Source organism: Homo sapiens, chromosome 10 (assembly GCF_000001405.40).
Source record: "Homo sapiens chromosome 10, GRCh38.p14 Primary Assembly".
Lineage (NCBI taxonomy): Eukaryota > Metazoa > Chordata > Mammalia > Primates > Hominidae > Homo > Homo sapiens.
Window position 1 is genome coordinate 128,315,814 of NC_000010.11, and position 11,076 is coordinate 128,326,889.

Genomic DNA, 11,076 nt, shown 5'->3' on the forward strand with positions numbered 1-11,076 from the left:
AACAACAGGAGAGCACCAGAACTCACGGAGAGAGCAGAGGTTGAGGAAGCCTGGCGCCCCAGCGACAAAGCAGTGTCCCCGACAAAAGAAAGATTCAATCTTGGAAACAGAAACATGAAGTGAATGTTTAATACCATGGTCCAAGAAGATGGCATTTTCTGTGACTGGAACAATGCAGAATTAATGTGTATCTGCAAGAAATATCATTAAGATTAAGTATTCTTCAGAGAGATTGGAGAATCGGGGAATTCAAGTGCGTTTGTTGGCTTGAGCCAGCCCTCCGCTACCTGACCCATCTGCAGGCAGAAAGGGCATCCACCAAGGTAAAGACATCTGCTGGAAGACAAAAGTAAAGATGTGAATTTTCTTTCAATTTCCTGAGAGAGCACAATACTTACAGTTCTCTCTTTTAATGCGACTCTGGATTGCTTTTTCCCTGACAGTTGCTGTAGAGATAGCATAGGCTTGCTGCTTGGCACAGAAGTACTCTTTATTTCATTGTAATTAGCAAGGGTAATTTTCTGGCATGGCTCCGGAATGGTCCATGAGGGGTTTTCATGTCTGAAAGCAGAGGAGAGTTCAAGGTCAGATCCTGAGCTTCAGCAGTGAGGACGAGTTGGAATCCAGAGCTGGAATTGTGATGCTGGAGCACAGGGTGAGGACCAAAGTTTACTCAATTCTCAGGGCCAAAGTCCTAACTGGGCTGCTGCTGATTGTCTCTCCTGGGGTCCTGTTAGGGATGGACCCACAAGATCGCCAGAACGGGGCGGCACTGTCTTGCTATACAAGCTCTTTAGAGGGCTCCATTGAACAGGTTTTCTGTTTTGAATGAAATCATAGATCTTTCATCCAGGGGTTTGCCATGAATACCTTGATCTTATGCTCATCAGCCATCACTGCACTATATTTTTTGTGTATATGCCCTTCTCTCTTGCCAGATTATCAGAAATGGTGTGTGTGTGTGTGTGTGTGTGTGTGTGTGTGTGATTTATTTCTGCATCTCCAGTACCTTTCAGCGTACCGTGCAGAAGCATCACTCAAATGCACGAAGCCAAATATGTCTGTGAACACACTGTTTGGTTGAACTGACTTTTTTTTTTTTTTGATAGTGAGTCTTTCTCAGTAGAGGAGGCAGTGTGCTGTTATATGCTGATGCAGCTCCTTGTCTTGGACTCATAACTGACAGAACAGCATGTGGACCTCACCGCTCCTTGGACTTCGAGTGGCGCTACTCTAACGCTGAGTCCTGACCTGGATCCCTGTTTGCTTGCCTAGACCTAAGGCGGTGGTGCAGACCTTCCCCCACCCCACATACCATCGCCTTCTGGAATGTGGCTTTGTGGAACTGAGGCTGAGACAATCACAGTGCCCCATTCTTCTGGTCATGTGACAGGTCTGGACCTGGTCATGTGGCAAAGTCGAATCTAAGTCACATCAAAGCAGGGAGAGTTAAAGCAAATCTTTTCTCTCTTGTTGTGGAGCTGGAATATGAGCCCAGAAGCTTCCAGAACACATGGTCCTGCCCTCATAAAGAAGCTCAAGTGAGGGAACAAAATCGACTTAGGTAGCAGCGAGCATGGATGGGGCCTGGCTACATCAAGTTCTCAGATCCTGTTGTCCCCACCCACCCCCTGTAACTTGCCAATTTTATCCATCAAGCATCCTCTCCTCTCTCCCAACTTGTCTGAGTTCTGTTTCTGTCATTGTCACCAAGAGAGCTTTGATGAGTAAGAAATCCCAACATTCCACGGGAGTCTTGGTGGTTTAAATTTTTAAGTGAGTCCTCACTTGTTAAAGTCTTATTCCTGTTAGAGGGCACTTCCATAGTCCAGAAGGTGGGGAATTCCTATAGGTGACCTGTGGTCTCTCTAAGCAATTTGACCAGGACTATTTAATAAAATATTTTAAAAATGGTTCCTTTTAATTATTCATTTTCAAATGTATATTTGTTCTTGGCAAACAAGAGATGATTTGCGTTAATCAGTGATCTTTAAGCAAATTCCTTGCAATACTTTATCTCCATATAAACTCGAAGCTTCTTAAATGAAATAGTACCTGTGTATTTCATATGGCTTCCTCTTTTATAAATAAAATGAATGGACTTGGGACCAAAACAGAATTTTTTTTTTCGGGAACTATAGGACTGGAATCTTTTTATCCAAGGCAGTTGGATCCCACAGTACATTTTCACTGTAACAGACAATGAGGTTGAGTCAATAAATAAATAAATAAAGTCACCAACATGTCCAAAAGCCTCCATTTAAAACTCAAAGCCAGTGGTTTTGGGTTTCACCTTTTCCTTTAAAATTAAATTCCCTGAAACCATATTTTAAAAATGCTATCTGAATGGGAACCGCCAAACTGGGAAACTTTAAGTTTAAAAATAGAACTGCATCTGAATTATCTTATAGAAATTTGTCTTCTAACCAGCCATCAGTAACTGTAAGCATGCTTCATAGATCTACATATTTCAGCACTTTTTACATTCTGAAAGAATCTTGCTTAGATACGAAGGTTAACTGGACACCTTTTTCTGCATTCACCTTTAATACTGGATGCCCCCTTTATCTGCACTCCCAAGCTGGGAAGCCCCAGAGTGGGCTCTTGGCCCCTTGCGGCCAACTGAAGTTCTCCATCTCTGCAGCCTCCGTGATCACCTTAAGAATAGGCTCGCGACCTCCTTTGGGCCACACAGAGTCCTTCTCAGGGCTTGCGCTGGAGCTCTCAGGAGGGATGCTCGCTTTCTCACTGATCAGGAACTCTAAGGACCAAAGCCTGGAGTGAGGATGTGATCTGCTTGCAAGCGAAGGAGGCAGGAGGCAGCCGGACTCGAGGGCACACATGACCTGGCAGGGCTGAACCTCAGGCTCCGGTGAGGCTGGCTCCTGACTGCCCCTCTGGACTTTCTCAGTTATTTCAGGCCATGGATTATCTTTAGTGCTTAAGCTAGTTTGAGTTGTGTTTCTGCCACTCATAATTCAGAGAATCCTGGTGGCTTCAGTGTGATCAGGAAGACATTGGGAGCCATTTTAGTTTTTACTTAACTTTTCCAAACTTGCTAGACAGGCTGATTATGGGTCTGTGCTAGTCTGGGAACCTGTGTTTGCTCTCTTAAGCCATGGGTCTTAGACTCATTTCCTGTTGCAAACAGGATGCACTGCACATTTTTACTGTGTTTTTGCTGCCCATAAGTGGGAGGCAGATTCGAATGATAGAATTGGAAAGGTTCCAAAAGCACCAGCCATGGTAGGGACCCTGAAGATTGCAAGATAAACAAAAGCATTCAGAACTTGTGATGGGAGTGTGAGAGGATTGAGCGTTGAAGTCAGCCTAACAGAGGCTGTCGTTTACCCGGTGAAATCCTCAAGTTACAAACAGCTGCTGTGCAATTGGAAGTCACAGTCTTCAGTTAGGCTTGATTTGTCATTTGGTTTATAAATAAGCTTTCATTTTGTCTTTTTTTTTTTTTTTTTTTGGTCTGGCAATGTGGTATCTCTTCCTTGCAGGATTTGGGAAGCTGGGAATATGTGTGACCCACACTACCTGAGGGTGATAGACTTTGACAGTGTCTCCAGCATTTTCATGTTGAAATCTGCTTTATCCTAATTTCCAGTCTTGGTCTTGTCTGTCACAGGCTGGGGAGAAGAGCACCGTCCAGAGAAGGACCCAATAAGGGACATTTCCACCTTGCTTAGTGGGTTGAGGGCTGGGCTTTGGGTTTGAGATGTGAAGAGAAAGAAGCTACGTGGAAGAGAAAGGATGGAGGTACAAGGACGCCCTCCAGCCGGCTACACTTCTGAAACTAAAACATACAAAACTCAGTGGCTTTTCCTCAACTCCTATGATGGATGTGCAAGGACGCCCTCCAGCTGGCTGCATTTCTGATGCTAAAAATACAAAACTCAGCAGCTTTGCCCATACTCCTATGATGCCTGCTTTTTTTTTTTTTTTTTTTTTTTGAGGCGGAGTCTCGCTCTGTCGCCCAGGCCGGACTGCGGACTGCAGTGGCGCAATCTCGACTCACTGCAAGCTCCGCTTCCCGGGTTCACGCCATTCTCCTGCCTCAGCCTCCCGAGTAGCTGGGACTACAGGCGCCCGCCACCGCACCCGGCTAATTTTTTGTATTTTTAGTAGAGACAGGGTTTCACCTTGTTAGCCAGGATGGTCTCGATCTCCTGACCTCATGATCCACCCGCCTCAGCCTCCCAAAGTGCTGGGATTACAGGCGTGAGCCACCGCGCCTGGCCGATGCCTGCTTTTTTAAGAGTGAAGAATGCAGTATGCAGAAGTCCTCCCATTCCCGCCATGCCTGACCTGGTGCATCACAGGCTGCCCAGATGCAGAGGAAGGCTCGGCCATTTCGGCCTTGGCCTGGGCTCTCGGTGGTCCGCTCTGAGGGAACTACATCTAATTACAGAGCAGCGCCGTGGGAAGGAAAGGTCTGGGAAAGTGCAAATGGGAGCCCCAGCACAGAGCACAGCATAACAATTCTTTGGCTATGACACCACAAATGCCATGACCACACAACTCAGCCAACTGGTTACCTCTCACAATGGTGCCTGGTACATCCAGAATCTTAATCTGAGTAATGACTAGTTTTTCAGAAAAATATGTTTTATCCTGAGTTCACTGTAGTGTCACATCCATGGTAAGAAACAATGCAGAGAGATCCTGTATCTGCTTTACCCTGGGGTGACATCTTGCATAACCACAGTACGTATCACAGCCAGGGTACTGATGCTTATACAGCCCACTGACTGTATTCAGATTTTACATGCACTTACTTGTATGTGTTTAGTTCTATGCCATTTTGTATATTTGTGTGATCAGCATCACAGTCAAATATAGAACAGTTTTGTCACAAGGATCCCACTACACCTAAAAATTTAAGTTTTAAACATTTTCGTTGTGATCTTTTCTTTTTCTTTTTCTTTTTTCTTTTTTTTTGAGATGGAGTCTCACTCTGTTGCCCAGGCTGGAGTGCAGTGGCACAGTCTCGGCTCACTGCTGCCTCTGTCTCCAGGCTCAAGCGATTCTCCTGTCTCAGCCTCCTGACTAGCTGGGATTACAGGCGTGCACCACCACACGCAGATAATTTTTGTATTTTTAGTAGAGACAGGGTTTCAGAGTTTCACCATGTTGGCTAGGCTGGTCTCGAACTCCTGACCTCAAATGATCCTCCTGCCTTGACCTCCCAAAGTGCTGGGATTACAGGCGTGAGCCACCACACCTGGCCTGTTGTGATCTTAAGCGTGATTTGTCATTGTTTGGGGCCCAACTTTTTCATGAACTATAATAGGAAAATAGGATCCCAGGTGCCAAGATTTGCTTTCCAGCCCTGCCTCCCCACCCAGGACCCATGTGGGCCACCCATTGTAGCAGGCCTGCCTGTGGATTCCACAGTGAGGCTCTTCAAGAAGGATGTGGAGAGGATCCCATGTCTGGGAGGAACTGTCCCTTGGATTTCTCTGCAGTGATATTCCTATCCACTGGCGTTATCTTGAGATAAAACCGTGGAGCTCTTCATGTTGAAATGCCAATACCTTTCCCCTCCACCGCCTGTCAGTTGGTTTGGCTGAAGCCTGCTCACATTTACTTAACTTGACATATAGTAATAATGGAATATAATGAAAATTCTTTGCAAACTATTGATTTTTTTCTGCATGCACCCAAATGGTCCGCAGAATGGAGTTATTTTTTAGTTTGCACTATTCTCTGGCCATCCTTTCAGCATAATGTATTATAAAAAAAGATCATGGACTTAGTCAGAGATTGTGAAAAATCAGTGCAGCTGTAAGAAGGAAGTAGGCATTTCTGTGACAGGCCTTTTTAGAACCCTGTATTCTAGCTTCTTTCTTTGCACTTGGTAGCCACCCTGGCCTCTCAATCTTGGCTCCCTGTGGGCACCAGCTCCATACACCCCATCAAAGTGTTTTAACTTTCTGAACCCCAGTTTTTTTGTACATAAACTCATATATATCTTATATGTTGTTATTTTGAAGGTTGAATGAGTTAATATAAAAGGTTCTTAGTAAATGCTAGTTTTATTTTCAGCCATTTGTCAATTATTTAGCACTTCCCTTGGACCAGGTATTTGTTGGATGCTAAGCGTAGAAAAAAATAAAGTAAAAGCTATCTTCACCCTCAAGAGAATCATAGTCTTGTTGGTCCTGCAGTTAGAATTCAGTGCAGTGCTCATCACTTCCCTACAGAGAATCCATGCTTTCTGGGAGCTAGGGAGGGATGAGGTGTCAGGAAAGCCTTCCTAGAGAAGGTCACACTTTACTTTTTGGCTGTTGGTGTAGACTTGGAAGGACCTAGGCTGTGCAGAGAGAAAAGGACATTCAAGTAGAGGGGAATGTGTGAGCAAGGTCCAGAAATAGGAAGGACTGTTGAGTGTTCAGAGACTCTTATGTGGATCAGAGACAGCGTGGGAACAGGAAGGTGGAAGGGACACATGGACAGGTCAGTAGGGTCAGAGCCTGGGACCACGTGACCTACCGAAGCTTCCCTGTCCAACATAGTGGGCAGAATTCTGGGTGGCAGAAAGTTGCACAGCTGTGATCAATGTCAACGCCGATTGGGTTTGGAGCCAAGACTGTAGATGTCTTCTGAAATGCGGTTATAAGGTCCTGGAGAGGTCAGAAGCCTTTCGGGTTGTGCCAGGCAGGGAGGATACCAGCTCCAGACACCAATGACAACCTCCACTCTGCCTCCAACCAGCCCTTGGAACCTTGGGCAAGTCCTTTTGTGAACTAAAGGAATTGGGTTGGCTAGCTTCTAACGTTCTTTCCAGAGCGAAGATTCGTTGGTTCTCTGTGGTTTTACAATACCACAAAATGAAAAGATCAAGAATAAAATGACAATAGATGCATTCTGTTGTGAAAATTTTATCCCATCCAAAAAGTTCTATGCACAATGGAATCCTTTCAGGATCTTGAAATCTAGCTACCTTCTTGGCCAAGACAAACTCTATTTGATCATAGCTTCTTAGATTCATTCAATTCTTAATTAACTTGTCATTAAAGTAGGACTGGGGGCTCACATGAGTGAGAAATCGGAAGAGAAACTCTCCATTGCATGCCCTAAGTGTGGGTTTGTGGCTGGGAATTCCTGGCTCCTATATTATTTGATCCATTTCTTTCTGGTTGAGAAGGGACATTCTTCAGTTATCAGGTGCACAACAAGGGACTCACTCTTGCAGTGTCCTCCTCACCTGTTTTGGGCATCTCCAACAATCACCCTTGAACTGAACTTTGGCTGGTCTTGGCCCAGGTGAGGGGAGGCACCACTGCAGCCTGTCCTGTGGATGTCCTGTGACTCATCTTCACATGTCCAGGAGGGTGCTTCCCTGACTCAGCTTGGGAATTCGGCACAGGAGTCTCTGGTTCTCTTCCATCAGGTCTTGCTGTGGCCTTTGTATCCTCTTCCACTGGGTGTTCATTTACCTAAGTGCCACTTCTGATAAGACCAAGCCTGTACCTTGATGGTTGCCACTAGTCAAATGAGTGATGTCCCAGGCTGCAGAATATATTGAAGAGAGGGAAGACAGAATCCTAAGGAGGGCGAGGGGCCTCTTCAGTGGCCTTCAACATCTACCCTGTCTTTCCAGGCCAGCATGGGCAGGGATGTGTGACTTGCAGCTGGAGAGAGGAGCCCAGGCAGTCTGGCTCAGCCTAACTGGCATTCATCTCGCTGAACTGGGATCAGGAGCCCGCCCCTCTGCAAGACCCAGAGCAGCTCTCTTCATTGTTGCATGACCAAGCATCTCCTGGTTTGCAAGGACTGCTTTTGGATAGATTATTTCCTCTAATTAGCCTTGTGACATCTGGTGTGTGATCACAAACTGTAAGTCTATTGCAGACTCTGATGCTGGGTTCTCTGTGGACTGAGAGCCCCCCTGCACTAGGTCTGAGATGATGTATCTCTGCACACAGGAGCACTCATGAGGACTGTGGTCACCTAGGAGCTCAGGGACCCACAGAGCCCTGGGTCATTTTGAGCTCTAGCAGATGAGAATCTAGTTGCCCAGTGGGGCTTTGTATCATAGATTTGGACCAACAAGGGGGTTTACCTGGCTCATTGCACCAGAAGGAGCGTGGAGAATGCAAATTTCCCCAGACAGTTCAGGCACCTGAGGGCAGAGATCTGGCCTCGCACTCCTGCAGCCCCCACTCCCCACCCCATGAGCTCCCATGCCCAGCTCAGCACTAGGCATGTGGAGATGCTCCGCATAGACCACAAACCTGAACCTGACTTCCGCTTGCCACATGTTGATTAGAATCACCGCACATGCCACCAACTTCATCCTTTTCAATGGTCATTTGTGTCCCTGCTCTCTGCAGCAGGGTAGACAGAGCCCATGTCACTCAGCGGCAGCCACGGGGTAGCAGCTTTGGAATAAGCTGGATCTACAATAGGACAAGACTCAGAGCCTTGCCACGTGGGGGCTCCCTGACCCATGCAATGCTGAGCCTGCCTCTGGGAAAGCCTGTGGCTGTGCTATGACTCCTCCCTCTGACTTCTGACTCTCCAGGCCTCCGACCTCTGGCCGCAGCCGCCTCTTGACCTCACACTTGTTCTTCTATGCAGCTGAATGTGCGCATTCACAGTTTGCGTTGTTTTTTGCATAAACTTATATTTCTCATTCTAAGAGTAATATATGTGCATTATAGAAAGCTTACAAATAAAGAAAAACACACATACTAAAGAGCTCAGTCATGGGTTTTTCTTTCCATATTTGATCCGTCCTGCTCTGTGGGTGTGTGATCTTTGTTGGTATGTTTGGGAACACCCTCTACGTACTATCTAATGCCCTCCTCAAGTGCTCCTGGCCCCACACCTCAGCTTGTTCTGTGCTAGCACTTGGAGGCTTTCCCAGCCTCTGCCTGCTCCTAAGCCTGTTCTGCTTTGCCCACGTGCTCACCGCTTGTCCTCCCTGATCATCTCAGCACCCAGGACTCCCCTTGTGAGCATCCATAGCCCTGCTTGTCTCTCATGCTTGCTTCCTAATCACAGACGTGCTGGCCCACAATATTCTCTGACTTTGTCCGAACCTCTGAGGTCGGGAGTCCCTGCTTCTGTTTCTTGGTAAGTTCAGTGGTATCTTACATTGAGCTAAAGAAAGGGCTCCTAAGCTAGATATGTAAGGATCTTATTAAGAAATAAAAATTTAATTAATATATTCATAAGAAGGCTCATCTTCATTAATAATGGCCAGCTCAGCCCCCACTATCTTTTACGCACCATCGATAAAGGTTAATGCCCTTCATGATGTTGGGTCCTGAGAAAGTTGATCATGGTCTTTACTAAACTCGATGCTCCCCAACCTGCCTTGCAGGGGCCCTGGAAACAAACACCAGCATGATTTTGAATGTGCACACACCAGGGCTTACAGCTGAAGGGGCTTCTCGGTCAACCAGCCCAGGTGTTTTGGGTTCTTTATCTCTCCTTCTGCTAAACATGTGAAGAGGGGCTGGAAGCATACAGGGTGGGTTTTTGGTGTGTGTGGCGTTTTTGTGGGGTGACCACTTTTAAAGACCTTTCCGCTCCTGTAGAAAAAGCTGACAAAGAGAATGTGGTTGTCAGTCGTGTTTCAGAGATCAATGTTCCCTCGCGCGGCGGGGCCAATCCACACCCATATTTTTAATGATCTGACCCAATGTGAATCTGCCGGTTACAAAGATGCTGCCTTAGAATTTTAAAAAACCTCATAAATAATTTGTTATAACCGCAGGGTATCATGTTACCATGTTACTTATCATGGAACTAGGATAATATTTAAATTGCTTATTTACAGCGTTAAAGTAAATAGTGGTTTGGGCATTTCTGCAAAGCAGGGGACATGCGTTGTCACTCCCTGCCCCCTCCCTGCCGCCTGCGTTTCCCAGCCTCAGTGCGCTCGCCCTTCCTGCTGGGTCTGAGTTCTTTTCCCAGCTGCAATTACTCCATTATGCTATTAAAGTTCAGAATGTGCAACATGCCTGACCCCCGAAGGCATTTGACAGTCATTTTTTTTTATCTTGTCTAATACCTGTGGCTCCCTTTCTGTACTGACATTTGACTGCAAGCATTCTATGGGATCTGCCGGTTAGCTGTCCCTTGAAGGCCACTGGCCTCAGCACCTCTTATGGCCACTCATCTGGCCCCTGTCAGATCTCCGAGGGGGGTGGCGAGCAACACAGTGAATGAAATATCAAGCGCATCAGATCAAATGGCAGGCTGGCCCCCCAGGTAAGAGCAGACTCAGGGTGGAGGGCATTGGATCAGGCCTTCAGGCTTCCCTGGTTCACACGGGGCTCGGACCCTTGTTCCATCAAGTGCCCCTCGCTTAAGCCCCACTAATTGGGTAGGATTGCTGCCGTCTGATGAGTCATAATTAGGACGAGGCGGCTCCGGTAGGAGCCTTCTTATCCGGCAAAGGGTCAGGGACTAATGACTAGCAGAAGGTAACGGTTTTGTTGATGCCTGTAGACTCTGCTGGAAAAAAAAAATCCAGTCCTGCTGCATTTCTTCCGGCGGCAGGCACTGAATCTTCCCTCATTTGATTCAGTGACCTCTCAAGTGCATCCTCGCCCCGAGGGCTCTGGGCCGTCCGGCAACTGTGAAGCCCCTTGGGTTGATAATCTTCTCCCACACTTGCCCTTAACACCAGACGCACCACCATTAGCCGCAGCTGCACGGGCGCTCATTAGAGGCGATCGATAGGAGTGAGATCAGGAATGCCGCTGCCCCCACTCTCCGGGTCCTGCAGATTTGCAGGCGTTCCCACGCAACGTCTTCCTGCCAGCCACGCAAAACAGGGGCTTCTTAACACACAAAAGGGGAAAATGAGAAAGGACAAGGAGAAAGTACATATTTACCTTCCTGCTCTCAGGGTGTTTTTGTTGACTTGTCTAGAGGAAATTTTATTTTCACCGTGATGTGAAAATCGCTAGTCTTTGCCTTCTGTTGCTCCTTGAGTCAGACAGGCCAACGTAAAAATGTTTCTTAATGAAAGAATCACCAGCTCTCCCTACAGAGACAGGGAAAATGTTGTTGTAGCGAGCTGGGCTGGGGGAGCTGCGATGAGTGCTG

The 11,076-nt window shown here is 46.8% G+C and overlaps 2 long non-coding RNA genes across 2 annotated transcripts in view; one reads left to right on the top strand and one right to left on the bottom strand.

Moving 5' to 3' along the window:
- The window catches only part of LINC01163 (long intergenic non-protein coding RNA 1163), a 31,777-nt gene extending 29,864 nt beyond the window's left edge, over positions 1-1,913 (top strand). Inside the window, exon 6 of the long non-coding RNA NR_120619.1 lies at positions 1,110-1,913. This is a non-coding gene — a long non-coding RNA (long intergenic non-protein coding RNA 1163). The remainder of the gene's footprint in view (positions 1-1,109) is intronic.
- LOC124902558 (uncharacterized) lies at positions 470-4,416 on the bottom strand. Its single transcript, XR_007062388.1, has 2 exons — positions 4,315-4,416; positions 470-561 (listed from the first exon to the last, which is right to left on the bottom strand). It is a non-coding gene; the product is annotated as an uncharacterized LOC124902558 (long non-coding RNA).
- Positions 4,417-11,076: the final 6,660 nt, after the last annotated feature.